Genomic DNA, 20,025 nt, shown 5'->3' on the forward strand with positions numbered 1-20,025 from the left:
CCCCGTGATATTGTTCATAATATCCCTGGAGGGAGAGGGTGACATTACTTCTTATATCGCTGATGGTGTAAACCCTCCTGTGATATTGTTGGTAATACCCAGGGGAAAGAGGATGATATTACTCCCCATATTGCAAGGAGTGTACACCTTCCTGTGATATTGTTCGTAACATCCAGGGGGGAAGAGGATGATGTTACTTCCCTGTGATATTGTTCATTATATTCAGAAAGGGAGAGAGTGATGTTACTCCCAATATCGCAGAGGGTGTACACCCTTCTGTAATATTGTTCATAATATCCAGGAGGGAAGAGGATAATATTACTCCCAATATCACAGGGGGTAAACACCCCGTTGTGATTTTGTTCGTAATCTCCTGGAAGGGAGATGATATTACTCCCAATATGGTAAACACCCTGTGTGTACACCGTCTGTGATATTGTTCGTAATATCCAGGAGGGGAGGGGATGATATTACTCCCAATATCGCAGGGGGTGTACATCCCCTGTAATATTGTTCCTAATATCCAAGGGGGAGAGGAGATTACTGCTCTTCATATCGTAGAGGGTGTACACCCGATTGTAATATTGTTCGTAATATCCAGGAGGGGAGAGAATGATATTACTCCCCATATCGCAGGGGGTATACATCCCACTTTCATATTGTTCATAGTATCCAGAGGGGGAGAAAATAATATTATTTCATATATCGCAAGGTGTGTACACCCCCCTGTAATATTGTTTGTAATATTTAGAAGGGGAGAGGATGACATTACTTCCCATATCACAGGGAGTGGACATCCCCCTGTGATATTGTTTGTAATACTTAGGGAGGGAGAGGAAGATATTACTCCCCATATCGCAGAAGATGTACACCCCCCTATTATATTGTTCCTAATATGCAGGGGGGAAGGCATGATATTACTCCCCATATCACAGGGGGTGTACATCCCCTTGTGCTATTGTTCATAATATCCAGTGGGGGAGAGGATGATATTACCTCTCCGTGATATTGTTTGTAATATCCAGAGGGGGAGAAAATAATATTATTTCCTATATCACAAGGTGTGTACACCCCCCTGTAATATTGTTTGTAATATTCAGAAGGGGAGAGGATGACATTATTTCCCACATCACGGGTGGTTCACATGCCCCTGTGATATTGTCCATAATATTTATGGAGGAAATGGAAGATATTACTCCCCATATCGCAGGGGGTGTACATTCCGCTGTGATATTTTTTGTAATATCCAGGGAGGGAGAGGATTATATTACTTCGAATATCACAGGGGGTGTACACCTCCATGTGATATTGCTTGCCATATCCGGGGGGGAGAGGATGACATCAAGTTTAATATTTTAAACACCCTGTGTGTACACTCCCTGGTAATATTGTTAGTAATATCTAGGGAAAGAGAGGACAATATTAAACCCAATATTGCAGGGGGGTACACAACCCTGTGATGTTGTTCATAATATCGAGGGAGGAAGAGTATGATACTACTTCCAATATCGCAGGCAGTGTACACCACACTGCGATATTGTTCCTAATATCGAGAAGGGCAAAGGATGATATTACTCCCAATATCGAAGGTGGTGTACTCTCCCCCTTGATATTGTTTCTAATATCCAGGGGGGAGAGGATGATATTACTCCCAATATAGCAGGGGGTGTACACTTCCTTTGTGATGTTTTTTCTAATATCCAACGGGGCAGAGGATAATATTACTCCCAATGTCGCAGGGGTGTCCACCCCCCACTGTAATATCTTTCCTAATATCCAGGGGAAATGAGGATGATATTGCTCCAATATCGCAGAAGGTGTATTCCTCCCTGTAATATTTGTTCTTATGTCCAGGTGGAAGAGAAAATGACATTACTCCCAATATTGCAGGTTGTGTGCAACCTCCGTGATGCTGTTCCTAATATTCAAAGCGGGAGAGAATGACATTACTGCCAATATCACAGGGGGTGTACAACCCCCACTGTGATATTGTTCCTAATATTCAGAATGGGAGAGGATGATATTACTCCCAATATTGCAGGGGGGGTAACACCCCCTGTGATATTGTATTTAATATCCAGGTAGGGAGAGGATGATATTACTCCCAATATAGCAGAACGTGTACACCCCATCCCTGTGATATTACTCCTAATATCCATTTGAGGAGAGTATGATATTTCTCTCAATATAGCAGGGGGTGTACACTCCCCCTGTGATATTGTTCCTAATATCCGGGGGGGGAGAGGATGATATTACCTTAATATCGCAGGGGTTTTACACCCCCCTTTAATATTGTTTTTAATATCCAGCGGCAGAGAGGATGATATTACTCCCAATGTCGAAGGGGGATACACCCCTTCTGTGATATTGTTCCTAATATCCAGGGGCAGAGAGGATATTACTGCCAATATCGCAAGGAATATACAACCCTCTGTGATTTTGTTCCTAATATTCAGAGGGAAGAGGATGATATTTCTCCCAATGTCGCAGGGAGTGTATCCCCACTCCGTAATATTGTTTCTAATATTCGGGGGCGAGAGGATGATGTTACTCCCAATATCTCAAAAAGTGTACACCTCCCTGTGATAATATTACTCTTAATATCGCAGGGGGTATACACCCCCACTGTGATATTGTTCCTAAAATCCAGGCGGGGAGAGGATATTATCCCAATGTCTCAGGGGGTGTACACTTCTCTGGTAATATTGTTCCTAATATCGGGGGGGTAGAGGATAATATTACTCCCAATATCGAAGGGGGTGTACACCCTTAATGTAATATTTTTCCTAATATCGAGGGCAAAAGAGGATTATATTATTCCCAATATCGGAGGAAGTGTACAACCCCCATCATGTTGTTTCTAATATCCAAGTGGGGAGAGGATGATATTACTCCCAATATCGCGGGAGGTGTACACCCTTTCTGTGATATTTTATGTAATATCCAAAGAAGGAAAGGTTGCTTTACCCCCAATATCGCAGGGGGTGTACATACCCCCTGTGACATTGTTTTTAATATCCAGGTGGAGAGAGGATATTACTACCAATATCGTAGGGCGTGTACACACCTTCTGTGACATTGTTCCTAATATCCAGGGGGTGAGAGGATGATGTGACTGTCAATACCGCAGAAAGTGTACAGCCTCCCCCCAATGCCGTGATATTGTTCCAAGTAGGGAGAGGATGATATTACACCCAATATCGAAGAGGGTGTACACCTTCTCTGTGATATTGTTCCTAATATCCAGGTGGGGAGAGGATAATAGTACTCCCAATATTGCAGAGGGTGTACACCCCCCTTGTGATATTGGTCCTAATATCCAAGAAGAAAGAGCATGATATTATGGTCAATATCGCAGGGGGTATACACCCTCCCTGTGACATTGTTCCTAATATTTAGGTAAAGAGAAGATGATATTACTTTCAATATCGCAGGGGGGGTACATACCCCCTGTGACATTGTTCTTAATATCCAAGTGGAGAGAGGATGATATTACTCCCAATATTGCAGGGGGTGTACACCCTGCCTGTGATATTGTTTTTAATATCCAGAAGGAGAGAGGATGATATTACTCTCAATATCGCAGGAGGTGTACAACCTCCTGTGATATTGTTTCTAATATCCAGGAAAAAAGAGGATGATATTACTTTCAATATGGAAAGAGGTGTACACCCCCACATGATATTGTTCCTAATATCCTGGTGGGGAAAGGTTGATATTACTCCCAATATTGCAGGAGGTGTACACACCTCCTGTGTTAATTTTCCTAATATCCAGGGGATAGACAATGACATTACTCCCAATAACTCAGGGGGTGTACACCCCCTTTGTGATGTTGTTCCTAATATTTAGGGGTGAGAGGTTGATACTACTACCAATATCGCAGGGGGTGTACACCACCACCCCGTGATATTCTTTCCAATATCCCGGGGGAAAGAGAATGATATTACCCCCAATATTGAAGGGGGTGTACACCCCCCCAGAGATATTATTTTTAATATTCAGGAAGGAATAAGATGATATTACTGGCAATATCGCAGGGGGTGTACCCTCCGCCTGCAATATTCTTCCTAACATCCAGGTGGGGAAAGGATGATATTACTCCCAATATCGCAGAAGGTGTATACACCCCTGTGATATTGTTCCTAATAACCATGAAAAGAGAGGATGATATTACTTCCAATATAGCAGGGGTTTTACACCCCAAATGTGATATTGTTTCTAATATCCAGGAAGGGAAAATGATACTACTTTTTTTTTTTTTTTTGAGACGGAGTCTCGCTGTCGCCCCAGCTGGAGTGCAGTGGTGCGATCTCGGCTCACTGCAGGCTCCGCCCCCCTGGTTCACACCATTTTCCTGCCTCAGCCTCCCGAGTAGCTGGGACTACAGGCGCCCACCCCCTCGCCCAGCTAATTTTTTATATTTTTAGTAGAGCCGGGGTTTCACCGTGTTTACCAGAATGGTCTCAATCTCCTGACCTCGTGATCCTCCCGCCTCTGCCTCCAAAAGTGCAGGGATTACAGACGTGAGCCACCGCACCCGGCCTGAAAATGATACTACTCTTAATATCGCAGGGGGTGTACACCCCTCCTGTGATATTGTTCCTACTGTCCAGGGTGAGAGAACACGATATGACTCCCAATATTGCAGAGTATGTACACCCCCCCGAGATATTGCTCCTAATACCCAGGGAAGGAGAAGATGATATTACTCCCAAAAGCACAGAAGATGTACACCCCTCCTGTGAAATTCTTCCTAATATCAACGGGAAGAGAGGATGACACTACTCCCAATATCTCAGGCGGTGTACAACCTCATCCTCTCCCAACCTGAACATTAGGAACAATATCACAGGGAGCGTGTACACCCCATGCGATATTAGGATTAATATCCTCTCCCAAATTGGATATTAGAAACTATATCAAAGGGGGGGATATACATTCCCTGCGATATTGGGAGTAATATTATCCTCTCTTCCCATGGATATTAGGAACAATATCCCAAAGGGAGAGTACACTCCCTGTGATATTGGGAATAATATCATCCTCTCCTCCTCTGGATATTAAGAACAATATCACAGAGGGTGGTGTATACCCCCTGCAATATTGAGAGTAATATCATCCTCTCCCCTCCCAGAATATTACGAACAATATTACAGGGGGGTTTACACCCCCTGCGATATTGGAAGTAGTATCATATTCTCCCCTCCCCCCCGCATATTACAAACAATATCACAGGGGAGTGTACATTCCCTGCGATACTGGGAGTAATATTATTTTCTCCCCCCTTCCCCGGATATTATGGACAATATCACAGGGTGGTGTACACACAGGGTGTTTACCATCTTGGGATTGATATCATCCTCCTCCCCGGATATTGCGAACAATACCACAGCAGAGTGTACACCCCTGCGATATTCGGAATAATATCATCCTCTCCCCCCTGGATATTACGGACAATATCACAGGGGGGTGTACACCCCCTGTGATTTGGAAGTAATATTATCCTCTCCCCTTCTGGATATTACAAACTATAACACAGGGGCTTGTACACCCCCTGTGATATTTGCTGTAATATCATCCTCTTCCCCCTTGCATATTATGCACAATATCACAGGAGGGTGTACATTCCCTGAAATTTTGGGAGTAATATCATTCTTTTTTCCCTGGATATTACAGACAATATCACAGGGAAGTGTACACCTACTGCGATATTGGGAATAATATTACCCACTCCCCCTCTGGATACTGCGAACAATATCACAGAGTGGTGTACATCTCCTGCGGTATTGGGAGTAATATCATCCTCCCCTTGACTGGATACTACAAACAATATCACAGTGGGGTACACACCCACTGCGATATTGGGAGTAATTTCATCCTCTTCCACCCTGAATATTACGAACAATATTACAGGCGGGTGTACACCCCCTGTGATATTGGGAGTAATATTATCCTCTCTTCCCCTGGATATTATGAACCATATCACAGAGGTGTGTACACCCCTTAGATTTTAAAAGTAATGTCATCGTCTCCTTTCCTGGATATTACAAACAATATCACAGGGGAATGAATACCCAAAGCGACATTGGGAGTAATATTATCCTCTCTTCCCCTGAATACTACAAGGAATGTCACAGAGGGGTGTACCCCCGCTGAGATATTGGGAGTAATTTCATCCTCTCCCCTCTTGGATATTTCGAACAATATCACAAGACAGTGACCACCCCCTGTGATATTTGCATTTATATCATCCTCTTCACCCCTAAATATTATGAAAAATATCACAGAGGGGTGTACAACCCTTGGGATATTGGGAGTAATATTATCCTCTCCCCTCCCTGGAAATTACAAACAATATTACGGTGGTGGTGTACATCCTTTGTGATATTGAGAATAATAGAAATTTCTCCATCTTGGATATTAGGAACAATATCACAAGGGGGGCTGTACACCCCCTGCGATATTGGAAGTAATACTATTCTCTCTTCCTTTGGATGTTAGGAACAATATCACAAGGGCGTATGCACTTCCTGCGATATTAGAAGTAATATCATCCTCTCCTACCCTGGATATCAGGAACAATATGACAAAAGGAGTGTACACCTTCTGTGATATTGGGAGTAATTTCATCGTCTCCACCCCTGGATATTAGGAAAAATATCAAAAAAAAGTTTTCACCCCCTGCGATATTGGGAGTAATATCATCCTCTCCCTCCCAAGATGTTAGGAACACTATCACAGAGGGGTGTACACCCCCCGTACACTATTAAAAGTAATATCTTCCTCTCCCCCCTGGATATTAGGAAAAATATCACAGAGACCTGTACACTTCCTGCGTATTATCCACTCCCACCCTGGATATTAGCAAAAAAATCACGGGGGGGTGCACACCCCCTGCGATACTGGGAGTCGTATCATCCTCTCCCTTCCTGAATATTAAGAACAAGATTACGACGGGGGATGTAAATTCCCTGCGCTATTGAGAGTAATATCATTTTCTCCCCTCCTGGATATTAAGAACAATATCTCATAGGGGGTGTACACCCCCTGTGGTATTGGGAGTAATGTCAGCTTCTCACCTTTTGGTTATTAAGAACAATGTCACGGGGGGAGGATGTAGACCCCTGCAATATTGGGAGTAATATCCTCTCCACCCCTGGATATTAGGAACAATATCAAAGGGGGGGTGTACAACCCCTGCAATATTTGGGTAATATCATCCTTGTCCCCCCTGAATATTAGGAACAATATCACAGAGAGTTTAAACACCCCTTGTATATTGGGAGAGATATTCTCCCCTCCCCAACTGGGTATTAGGAACAATATCAAGGGGGGGTGTACACCTTCTGTGATATTGGGAGTAATATCATCTTTCTTCACTCTGGACATTATGAACAATATCACAGGGGGGTGTACACTGGCAAGTAATATCATCCTCTCCCTTCATGGGTATTAGGTACAATACCACAAGGCGTCTAGGGACACCTGAACAATCCCCAAGGGAAAGGGGGTTCAGGCCACACTTGGGATTGCCCAGGTCAAGGTGCCCAGGAACCATGGCCTCCAGGGGAAACCAAGAGTTTCAGATGAATTCAGTGCTTGAGGGCAGAACCAATGAGAAAATCTAGTCACATTTCTACAGCGCATCACCGTTAAAAAAAGGATTCTCTGTTATGCTAGGCAAGGAGGGATGATTATTTATTAGCTTCTACAGATTAGACAATGGGGTGGGGGTGGGCTCAAGGTGAGATGATTTTTTGGGTCCAAGTCTACTCAAGACAGGCATCCCAGTCTTCGGTCTCCAAATCCACCTCCTGTCTGTCCCCCCACACTGCTCCTCAGGCCTTGTGGATCCATTGACTGTGATTTCTGTGGTTCAGCTCCCACATCAGGCAGGAAGGGCAGCTACTGGGTCTGAGATCCCACATTGCCTCCAACCCTTGCTTCCTAGCTGGCCTCCCAGGGCACCACGAGGGGCTGGGCCAGGCTGCTGTGCTGCACGTGGCAGGAGTAGGGGGCTGTGTCCTGCGGGGGCACTGCCACCACCACCCAGGACTGGTAAGTGCCATTTCCATTGTGAAGAACATCTCCCCGTAACTCAGGCTCCTGCACCTCGCCGGCCCGAGTCCAGTGCACATCAATTTTCCCTGGGTAGAAGTCGTAGGCCAGGCACTTCAGTTTCTTCTTTTCTCCTGGGGCCTGGTGGCTGGTGACCACCACAGAGGGAGGATCTGTGGAGGGATAGAGTGTGACACTGCAGGCTTGAGGTGGACTTCTCCCGGCCCAGGTCTCTTCCTACCCCCACCCCTGGATGTCAGCGATCAGCAGAGCTCGAAGCTCTGTACCTGCCCACCCCCAGCCCCGGGAGACTTTCCAGAATATCAGGGAAGGCTGACGCTTTCCCTCTTGCCCAATCCCCACCTCACCCATGTATTGACTCTGACGGCAATAAGTTGTGAATGCTCCGTGTGCTTCTCCATGTTTTCCCACATCTCAGTGGGCTTTGGAGTTCTGTCCCCCAGTCTCAGTCCAGCTGCTTGGTTCAGCCCATGCCTCTATCCAGCAACCACTTCCCTGCAGCACTGCACAATCCTGAGTCTCACTACGTCTCCAATCCAAGTCTCAGCTTGCAGCCATCAATTCCGCTCACACTGGCTTGCTCTTGTCCTTCTGGGGCTGACATTTTACACGCCTCCCTTCTCTCCACCACCCAGATGGGAGGCATCATTGTAGAGATAAAAAACGATGGGATTTGGAATCTGAAATCTGGAATTTGAGTCCCAGCTCTGCCTCTTACAGACAGTGTTACCCTCACCTCCCTAACCTCAAGCTCCTTGTCTGTTAATTGGAGATGATTTGGGGACACTCATCAAGAAAGAATGGCCTTCCTGGCCCATTCTGCCTGAAATTTTGATGATGTTCTTTTTGGACCACAAATTATATTATCCCAGGGAAGGAATAAATCCTAAAAGATGAAAGCTGGGGGTCTGAGGGACATCCAGGAACAGATGAGACCGGACTAAGATGTTGCCTGAGCTCCTAGCCTGAGATCGTCTTTTATTCTGGGCTCAGTACTGGGGAGCAGGAAGCAGTGAGTACCTTGCCGGTCCAGGATATTTTTGCTGTATTTCAGGTATTTCCGCAGAGTCGCAGGGCACTCCTCCTCCAGGTAAGCCTTGGCCCGCTGCACGTAGACTGGTTCTGCCTCCCACTTCTGCTTGGTTATCTGGGCTGCTGGGTCGAAGGGGACCCAGGCTGGGATTTCTTTGTTGAATTCAATGTAGTCCTTTCCATCATAGTAATATTTCCAGAATGCTCCGCTGCTTCTGTTATTCTCGATCTCACAACCAAACCTTCCCTGCAATACGTGAGACCCTGAAAACTCCCCCGACCCCACAGAGAGACAGTCAGCCTGGTGAGAAATTTATCAAAATAACTCTTAGTCTTGCACATTGGGCAACCCAAAAGAAATAAAGGTTTTTGCAATTCAAGCATGCAATCCCTTTATCAAGACAAATAGGTTATTACTCCAATATATACAACAGACAGAGAGGGGCTAACTCAGTTTGGTTTGGCATTTCAGGTTTGTCTCAGATGAGATATGTTCCTCCTTAAGAGAGCTACAGCCTGGGCGCTGTGGCTCATGCCTGTAATCCCAGCACTTTGAGAAGCTGAAGCGAGTGGATCGCTTGAGCCCAGGGGTTCCAGACCAGCCAGGGTGATATGGCGAAATCCCACCACTACAAAAAATATAAAAATTAGCGCAGCATGGTGGTGCATGCCTGTAGCCCCAGCTACTCAGGAGGCTGAGGTGGGAGGATCACTTCAGCCTGGGAAGTCAAGGCTGCAATGAGCCAAAATCACACTACTGCATTTCAGCCTGGGTGACAGAGTGAGACCCTATCTCAAAAAAAAAAAAAAAAAAAAAAAAAAAAGCACCAGGCCCAGTGGCTCACACTTGTAATCCCAGCACTTTGAGAGGCTGAGGAGGATGGATCACCTTAGGTCATGAGTTCGAGACCAGCCTGGCCAATATGGTGAAACCCCATCTCTACCAAAAATATAAAATTAGGCTGGACGCAGTGGCTCATGCCTGTAATCCCAGCAGTTAGGGAGGCTGAGGCCAAAGGATCACCTGAGGTCAGGAGTTTGAGACCAGCCTGGCCAACATGGTAAGACCTCATCTCTACTAAAAATACAAAAATTTGCTGGGTGTGCTGGCACATGCCTGTAATCCCAGCTACTCATGAGGCTGAGGCAGGAGAATCGCTTGAACCTGGGGGACAGAAGTTGTAGTGAGCCGAGATGGAGCCATTGTACATCAGCCTGAAAGACAGAGCAAGACTCAGTCTTAAAAAAAAAAAAAAAATTAACCAGGAGTAGTGACACATGCCTGTAGCCTGTAGTCCCAGTTATCGGGAGGCTGAGGCAGGAGAATCCCTTGAACCCAGGAGGCAAAGTTTGCAGTGAGCTGAGATTGCATCACTGCACTCCAGCTTGGGTGACAAGAGCAAAACTCCATCTCAAAAAAAAAAAAGCTACAGAATATGAATATATTTCTATCTCTTCTATAGCATCTCTTCTAAGGACAATTATTTGTTTGAATTTATGCTGAGTCCTGAGGAAGCTGTCACAACTACACCAAAGTGTACTTCCAAATTGGATAGAAATTATTTGTGATTTCATATGAGTAAAGGAAGGCTCTCTTTTTCTCTCAGTTCTAGGAAGAGTTCATATCATCACCTAAGTAACCCTAATCTGATCACTTCTTTCTACCTTTCTGGTGTTTGATATCTTTATCCCAAATCTCTAAAGCCCCAACCTTCTTGCCCATTAGCCACAACTCTCAGAAATGGACCTCATAGGGCAGGGGACACAGCCTCTTTGTTCTGATGATAAAAGCAGGTGTTTACCCAGCACTGGTTGGTGCTGTTGGCATAGACTCTGAAAGCTCTCAAGCTGTCTGGGCTCACGTCCCAGGTCTCTCCCCAGCCCCCCACCCCCACCTGGTGTGTTGCCTGAACTGGAGCCACTCAACTCCCTGTGCCTCTATTTCCTCACCTCTGAAATGGCAATGCCAAGAGCACTGTTTTAGGGGGCTATTCTGAGCATTATATATGCTCATAGATGGGCCTGGCACAAAGTAAGTGCTCAGTAAATGTCAGCTACTATTATTTCCTTTTTTTGTTTTTTGTTTTTTGTTTTTAGACAACGTTTCACTCTTGTCACCCAGGCTGTAGTGCAATGGTAGGATTTTGGCTCACTGTAACCTCTGCCTCCTGGGTTCAAGCAATTCTCCTGCCTCAGCCTCCTGAGTAGCTGGGACCACAGACGTGTGCCACCATGCCAGGCTATTTTTGTATTATTAGTAGAGACAGGGTTTCACCATGTTGGCCGGGCTGGTCTCGAACTCCTGACCTTAGGTGATCTGCCTGCCTCAGCCTCCCAAAGTGCTGGGATTACAAGAGTGAGCCACCAAGCCCTGCCTTCTATTATTTTCTAATACCCTGTGTTCATCTCCTCATCCTCCTTCCTCTTAATTATCCACTTTGCCATTTCTATTCCTGTCCATCAATGCTTCCCCCAGTGTCTTTTCTGATCACCTGTGCCCCCTCCTCTCCTATTGCTGACACACAGCCTGGGCCATTTTCCTTACCAAGACCTCCCCCACCCCACATCCTTGAAACATCTGCCTATCTCTTTCTTGCCTCCTTTTGAAAATCTTCAGATCCCATGTAGCACCTTGGGCATTTTTGTACTTAGTAGCCCATCTTTTGACACCCACTCTATGATAATTTAACACCAGCAGTTCACCAGACCTGAGGTTGGCTGCCTTGGGGCTGGCAGTGTGGTTTAGGAGAAAGAGCACTGGGCCGGGGGCACAGGGACCATCTCTGCACGGGCTCTGCCACCAGCTCCTCTGACCATAGCGCAGGTGGCCCTTCCTGGGTCTGCATCGTATGGTAAGGAGGAACTTTAGGGCTCCAAGGAACTCTAACAGCCCACAGTTTTGAATCCAGCACTTCCTGAGCCCCCAGCATGGGCTACGGTGTGTGCTGGGTGCTTTTCTCTGTTGATTCCACAAATTTCAATTGAGCCAATATTGGCTGTACCCTGTGCTAGGTGATGGAGCTGCAAGGGAGATCAGGACAGACTGTGACATCCTTCATAGAACAGACATAGTTAAATATTACAGACTTGTTTGGAGGTAGGTCTCAGTGCTCCAATGTTTGCAGATTTCAACCAGATATTTTGGGAACGTTTCACTGTCAACAGCTAGGACTGGCAGAACCACCAGGTGAGCCCAGGTCTGAGTGACTTTGAGAGTGGCTCACTCTCCAGGCAACCTCCCTGGACAGGGGTGAGTCTGATGCCTTCTCACGGGGGTATCAGCCTCCGATGGGTGGGGTGTGGAGGTGAGAGGTCATAGGTGCCTGGATAGGAAGTGACTCTGCCATCACTTCCTGTGTGACCTGAGGCCTGGGATGAGGATGGGGCAATTGATGGGGAAGCGGGGAGCACCTGTGCTGTGGGGTGGGTGGGATGTGGACATGTCTGTGTTTCTGCTGTGTCTCCTGTTCTTCCCCTGGGATTGGGACTATTTCCATCCTGCTGATCCCTTGCCACTCACACTGGGGGGGCTGCCTCTTGGGTTAGACCTTCCACCCCTGTGGTCTGTTATTCACTGACCGTTACTGTCGTTGTAATACTCCACGATGTCTTTCAGGGTCTCCATAAAGATGTCCTCCCTGGCCTTCTGAAGTTGGCTGTCCTGCTTCCAATCCTCCATTCCTTCCACCTGTCTCCAGAGTCCCATGGGCTGAGACTTCCTGTCTTTACTGTTGTATCTAAAGAACTGGAGGTCATTGAGTGAGCCAAGGGCCTGAAACGCGGGGACGTCTTCAACATGCTTGGACAGCCCAGTGTAGATATAGGTCAGAGAGTAACGACCTGCAAAAGAAAAGATTCTGATGGTTGAGGTCCATGCAAGGGTCCCACTGTGGGGCTGCATAGGGCTAGGAGGGGAGACCTGCCACTGGCCTTTTCTTCCCCAGCTCTTTCTCCTGCCATCAACTTCACACCACTGGAGGCTCACTCAAGTGAATATGCTCTACTTTCATGCCTGAGATGATATTTCAGAGACCATCCTGTGTCTTCACTACATTATTTCCTCTGCTTGACACATAGGAAGATAACATTACTCAGCCACCTCGAAGATATATTGGGACCATGTGACTGAGTTTTGTCAAAAGAGAATGTGAGCAGAAGTGATGTCTTTCTTCTTGTCCAAGACCCTACCAGCTGGCTTGTCCCTTTTGTTTCTCATCCCTAGAGGTGACGACTTTGAAGGCCACAGGATAATATGAAAGAGTCTCAATATGCAATTGGCCTGGATCCCTGAGTCACCCCATGGAGGAATGGAACCTTGCCCAGTGTGCATGGAATCTGACATGCGTTAGAAATTAACATTTCTAGGCTGGGCTCCGTGGCTCATGCCTGTAATCCCAGGACTTTGGGAGGCCAAGGCAGGCAGATTACTTGAGATCAGGAGTTGAAGACCAGCCTGGCCAACATGGTGAAACCCCATCTCTATTAAAAAATACAAAAATTAGCTGGGCATGGTGGTGCGGGCCTGTAATCCCAGTCATGCTGGAGGCTGAGGCAGGAAAATCACTTGAACCAGAGAGGCAGAGGTTGCAACAAGCCAAGATCATGCCACTGCACTCCAGCTTGGATGACAGAGTGAGACTCCGTCTCAAAAAAAACAAATTAACATTTCGTCCGGGCTCAGTGGCTCACGCCTGTAATCCCAGCACTTTAGGGGGCCGAGGCGGGTGGATCACGAGGTCAGGAGATCGAGACCATCCTGGCTAACATGGTGAAACCCCGTCTCTACTAAGAATTCAAAAAATTAGCCAAGCATGGTGGCGGGTGCCTGTAGTCCCAGCTACTCAGGAGGCTGAGGCAGGAGAATGGCATGAACCCGGGAGGCGGAGCTTGCAGTGAGCTGAGATCATGCCACTGCACTTCAGCCTAGGTGACAAAGCAAGGCTCCATCTCAAAAAAAAAAAAATTAACACTTCTAGCTTAACCTGACAAATACATATAGTTAGAAAGGGTAGAAAGGAGAATTTACCAGAAAATTCAAGAAATGACCCAGACTGAATTAGCACAGGGTAAGACTAGGATGGAGCTCAGAATTCCCGGGGTTGTACCTTGCATTTTGGTACAAGGTGGGATCTGGGAGAGAGGGACATTTCCATAATAGTTCCATAATTATTTTATGATACAATTTACACAGGTGCTAATGATGTTGGAGGTCATATGGCAGAATCCTAGTTCAATTACTAAAATTATTCTTGCTCCTGAGTGTCTAAATGTGATTAGCCTTTAAATCAGTAGACCCTACAATTGAATTCATGGACATAGAGAGTAGAAGGATGGTTACCAAAGGCTGGGAAGGGTAGTGGCAGGGTTGGGGGGAAATTGGGAGGGTGGTTAATGGGTACAAAAAAAATAGTTAGAAAACTATTTGATAGCACAACAAAGTGACTCCAGTGAATAATAATTTAACTGGGGCCAGGTGTGGTGGCTCATGCCTGTAATTCCAACACTTTGGGAAGCTGAGGCAGGTGGGTCACTTGAGGTCAGGAGTTCGAAACCAGCCTGGCCAACATGGTGAAACCCCATCTCTACTAAAAATACATAAATTAGCCGGGCGTGGTGGCACACACCTGTAGTCCCAGCGACTCAGAAGGCTGAGGCAGGAGAATCGCTTAAGCCCGGGAGGCAGAGGTTGCAGTGAGCCAAGATTGCACCACTGCATTCCAGCCTGGGCAACTCTGTCACAAAAAAAAAAAAAAAAAGAAGAATGAATAAGACCTACTATTTGATAGCACAACAGGGTGACTATAGTCAATAATAATTTAACTGGGGCCAGGTGTGGTGGCTCGTGCCTGTAATTCCAGCACTCTGGGAGGCTGAAGTGAGTGGATCACTTGAGGTCAAGAGGTCAAGACCAGTCTAGCCAACATGGTGAAACCCTATCTCTATTAAAAATACATAAGTTAGCCGTGTGTGGCAGTGTACACCCGAGGCAAGATAATTGCTTGAACCCAACAGGCGGAGGTTTGCAGTAAGCCAAGATCACGCCACTGCACTCCAGCCTGGGTGACAGAACAAGAATCCATCTCAAAAATAATAATAATAATCATAATTTAATTGTACACTTTTAAATAACCAAAAGAGAGGCCAGGCGCAGTTGCTGACACCTGTAATCCCGGCACTTTGGGAGACCAAGGCGGGCAGATCACGAGGTCAGGATATCAAGACTAGCCTGGCCAACATGATGAAACCCGTCTCTACTAAAAATACAAAAAAATTAGCCAGGTGTGGTGGCAGGTGCCTGTAGTCCTAGCTACTCAGGAGACTGAGGCAGGAAAATTGCTTGAACCTGGGAGGCGGAGGTTGCAGTGAGCCGAGATCATGCCACTGCACTCCTGCCTGGGTGACAGAGTGAGACTCTGTCTCAAAAATAAATAAATAAATAAATAATCAAATACTTTTAAAAACTAAAATAACCAAAAAAGTATAATTGGATTGTCTGTAACACAAACGATAAAAGCTTGAAGGGATGGATACCTCATTTTTGATGATGTGATTATTTCACATTGCATGCCTGAATCAAAACCTCTCATGTACCCCATAAATATATACACATACTATGCACCCACAGTTTTTTTTTTAATTTACAAAAAAATCAGTAGACCTTGAGTAAAGTGGATTACTCTCCATAGTGGTGGGCTTCATCCAATCAGTTGAAGGCCTTAAGAGAAAAAGCCTCAGATGTCCCCTAAAGAGGAAAGAATTCTGCCTACAGTCTGCCCTTGGAATCAAGACTAAGACATCAACTCTTCCCTGGGTCTCCAGCCTGCTGGCCGGCTCTGAAGATTTAGGACTTGTTACTCCTCCCAATAGTGTGAGTCAATTTCTTAAAATAAATCTCTACTCTCTCTCTCTTTTGTATACATATATGTAAATCTCTTCCTATGTGTGTGTGTATCCATGTGTATACAGTGTATGTATGTATGTGTACGTACATATATATGTATATGTGTACCACCTATTAGTTCTGTTTCTCTGGAGAACCCTGAGTAATTCAGATTTTGGCACAGAATCAGATTAACATTCCAAAGTGATTGTTATATAACAAACATATAACACCTTTTCTGACAATTTGTAAATGTCATGAATTTTAAACTCACACAACTGAGAAGCCATTCGCTTCCATGTCTTTATCCTGCACATTCTCATGCCACAAACAGCCTCCTTCCCTTATCCTAGGAGTGACTCTTGATCTCCCGGAGCTCCCACTCTCTTCTCTTCCAGCCACTCGCCTTCCAGACCCACTGCAGTGGTGTCTGAGTGTGGGATTTGGGCACGGGTTTCCTTCTAGCACCATCCCTCCAGCCAACCTGCCTTCCCACTTTCCCCTTGGGGCTGCTCTCTCTTTCCCTCAGCGTCAGGCAGGTGTACCCAGCCATCGGAAGGAGGGAAGGAACAGGAGCAGAAGCAGCTCCAGGCATATGGTTCCTACTCCGTCCTGACTGTCTACCCCAAGCAGGTCGCTTGGTCTTTGGAGTCTTTGTTTTCACTGTAAACTAGGGGTTTTAGATTCAGATTCCTGAAGGTCTTATTTCGGGCCAGCGCAGAGGCTCCCTGAATGCTCCTGGAAGTGTGTGAGCTGAGGGAGTTGACAGCCTTGGGCACCCATTCCTGCCGTATGCCAGGGTATCCCAGCTGCATCCAGCCTGTCTCCCAGCCACATGTCCTGTTCCTCACCTCCTTCCAGTCCTCTCCAGCACCCATCCCTTGCTTTCCCCACTCACCATCTTGGTTCTCCTGGGGGACAGCAGGACCCAGAAGCAGCAGCAGAGACAGCAGGACAGGCACCATTCTTACCATTGTGTCTGCTTGGAGGGTTCTGGGCAGGAGGCACAGATATTATCCTGGGTCCTGGGGCCCTGCCCAGGGGAGGTGAATCTACAGGCCAATGGGAGTGCCAGGACGGGCTCCTCCCCTAATAGAGAAAAAAAAATGATACACAAGCTAGGCTGGGCAGAGGTTATGAAGAATGAATCTACACACAGGATATGCAAATTCAGAGCTGAGTCCAGAGTTGATCTCTGGACTGAGGCTTTGTGTGTGCCTGGGGTGGAAGGATGCCAGTGGGTAGGAGGTGCGTGTGATGGGTGGCAAGCGCCTGGGATGTGTCACCCTTCCAGTCTATTGTGACAACCCCTGGGCCAGTAGGGGCATTTGTGTGTTTTTGGACCACACTGTATCCCTGCCTTCCAGAAAAACTCTCAACATGTCCAAGACATGGACCTGGGTAGACCCCAGCTGGGGTGGGACCCTCACTCTCCCACATCCGATCCTGCCAGAGGCTGTGTCTGGAGGACAGTCACATTCCCATCTCTCCCTCCTTCCTTTCTGTGCCTGTGGAATCCCAGCCTTCCATGATGGAAGCAGAAATAGCCGCATCCTCCTTTTGCAGCCTCCCTGGCAACAGAACGAGCCTCCCAAAATGCTGGGATTAAAGGCGTGAGCCACCACGCCCAGCCAAGATAATTTTTAATGCATACAACAAGACTCGTTTTACACAGACGAAGCCAGTTATTTGAAAACCAGGTCTTTCCAGGCACGCTCAGTGTTGATGGGCTATTTGCAGAGAGACCCTCCGAATACAAAGCAACATGCTATTCTAAAGTGACTGGGGCCCGGGTGCGGTGACTCATGCTTGTAATCCCAGCACTTTGGGAGGCTGAGGTGGTTGGATCACCTCAGGTTGAGGTCAGGTACTCGAGACCAGCCTGGGCAACATGATGAAACCTCGTCTCTACTGAAAAAATACAAGAATTAGCTGCGCGTGGTGGCACATGCCTATAATCCCAGCACTCAGGAAGCTGAGGCAGGGGTTTCACCATGTTGGCCAAGCTGGTTTTGAACTCCTGACCTCGTGATCTGCCCGCCTCGGTCTCCCAAAGTGCTGGGTTTACTAGTGTGAGCAACTGTGCCCAGCCTCTCTTTTGGTTAAAGAAACCTACAAAGGGACCTTTTATAGTGACTTCAATTTTATGGAATAATTGTAATGCTCCTAAGGCCGTTGTGCTCCAAAGTCTAGCCGCAGGTATTGTTATTGATTGGGCTCCAAAAGGGCATTATTGGCAAGATTGCTCCAGCAAAAATACCTCATGCTCAGAGTTTAATTATTTGTTAGATTATGTAGAGGATGGATGGCAGTCATACAGGCTGAGACAATGGGTGTCCCCTTACCTATTTAAATGGATGGATGCAGGCATTACTCCTCCTAGACCAAAAATGATTCATCCCTTTGTTACCCCAGAACATCCTCAACTATGAAAATTAGCTGCAGCTATGACAGGAATAAGGATATGGAACACTACCTATCAACTCCTTCACACTAATACCAAAACACCCACATTCAACATCACCCTCATATCTGAACGGGTGATACCCATCAGGAGCTATGTCAAACCCCCTTACATGCTGTTGGTTGGAAATATAATTATCATTCCCAATACACAAACTATAGAATGTGATAACTGTAAGCTGTTCACGTGCATTGATGCTACTTTTAATCCCACTACAAGTACTCTCTTGGTAAGGGCTAGGGAGGGGGTATGGATACCAGTTTCTTTACATCGTCCATGGGAGTCTTCCCCCTCTATTCACATAGTCAATGAAGTTCTTAAAGGTATCCGCAAAAGAACAAAGAGATTTATTTTTACTCTTATTGCCATCATTGCAGGACTAATTGCGGTTACTGCAACAGCAGCAACTGCTGGAGTTGCCATCCACAATTCTGTTCAAACCGTTCAATATGTTGAATTGAAGCATGGCAGAAAAACTCCTCCAGACTTTGGAATTCTCAGGCTCAAATTGATCAAAAATTAGCTAATCAAATTAATGATCTCCGCCAAAGTGTAATCTGGCTGGGAGATATGAATTTGGAACACCGTATGCAATTACAGAGTGATTGGAATACTTCTGATTATTGCATAATGCCTTATGCTTATAATAAATATCAACATAGCTGGGAAAATGTCTCAAGACATTTAAAAGCCTGGGATGATAACTTAACCTTGGATATTTCAAAACTTAAAGAGCAAATTTTCGAGGATTCACAAGCTCATTTATCCACTGTTCCTGGCTCAGACATTTTTGAAGGCATAACTAAACAATTATCTGATCTTAATCCCTTTAAATAGATCAAACCCCTTGGAGGATCATTGTTGTCACTGGCATTATTAATATTGGTATGCTTACGTTGTCTCCTTTTAGCCTGCAGATGCCTCCAAGGAGTCCGAAAACAAATCCGAAGTCAACGACAAGCAATGATGGCGATGGCGATCCTAGTTAATAAAAAGGGGGGAGATGTGGGCGGCAAGCCATCCAGGTGCCAAGCCAAGAGACCGAGGGCATGAGTTGTTCCAGTATAATAAAATATATAAAACAACAAGAGTTATACTAGATCTAGATCATAGATATGATTATATATCAATATCATTAATCATTAGTTTTTTCCAAATTTATTATTCCAATATTATAATATTATAATAATCCTCCAATATTATAATTTATTCCAATATTATAATAATCTTCGCTGCATAATCATAACCTAAGAAAAACCAGGCCATACAGAGATAGGAGCTGAGGGGACATAGTGAGAAGTGACCAGAAGACAAGAGTGCGAGCCTTCTGTTATGCCCAGACAGGGCCACCAGAAGGGCTCCTTGGTCTAGCAGTAACGCCAGTGTCTGGGAAGACGCCCCTTGCCGAGCGGACGGTGGTCTAGCGGTAGCCTCAGTGTCAAGGAAAACACCCGCTACTTAGCTGACCGGGAAAGGGAGTCTCCCTTTCCTTGGGGGAGTTTAGAGAAGACTCTACTCCTCCACCTCTTGTGGAGGGCCTGACATCAGTCAGGCCCGCCCGCAGTTA

General features: G+C 46.0%; 1 protein-coding gene across 1 annotated transcript; it reads right to left on the reverse strand.

The window, feature by feature from the left end:
- Nucleotides 1–7,677: 7,677 nt before the first annotated feature.
- AZGP1 (alpha-2-glycoprotein 1, zinc-binding) lies at nucleotides 7,678–16,979 on the reverse strand. The gene is made up of 4 exons (NM_001185.4): nucleotides 16,893–16,979; nucleotides 12,694–12,954; nucleotides 9,103–9,378; nucleotides 7,678–8,234 (listed from the first exon to the last, which is right to left on the reverse strand). Exons 1-4 carry the CDS (start codon nucleotides 16,966–16,968, stop codon nucleotides 7,951–7,953), a joined length of 897 nt encoding a protein of 298 aa, NP_001176.1. The 5' UTR covers nucleotides 16,969–16,979; the 3' UTR covers nucleotides 7,678–7,950.
- Nucleotides 16,980–20,025: the final 3,046 nt, after the last annotated feature.

The sequence above is a fragment of the Homo sapiens genome, chromosome 7 (assembly GCF_000001405.40).
Source record: "Homo sapiens chromosome 7, GRCh38.p14 Primary Assembly".
NCBI lineage: Eukaryota > Metazoa > Chordata > Mammalia > Primates > Hominidae > Homo > Homo sapiens.

Coding starts and splice junctions, on each gene's coding strand:
- AZGP1 (NM_001185.4), bottom strand. CDS start 16,968: ATGGTAAGAATGGTGCCTGTCCTGCTGTCTCTGCTGCTGCTTCTGGGT. Junction 9,379..12,693: donor GTATTACAACGACAGTAACG/GTCAGTGAATAA, acceptor GGGAGTTTTCAG/GGTCTCACGTATTGCAGGGA. Junction 8,235..9,102: donor AAATATCCTGGACCGGCAAG/GTACTCACTGCT, acceptor ATCCCTCCACAG/ATCCTCCCTCTGTGGTGGTC.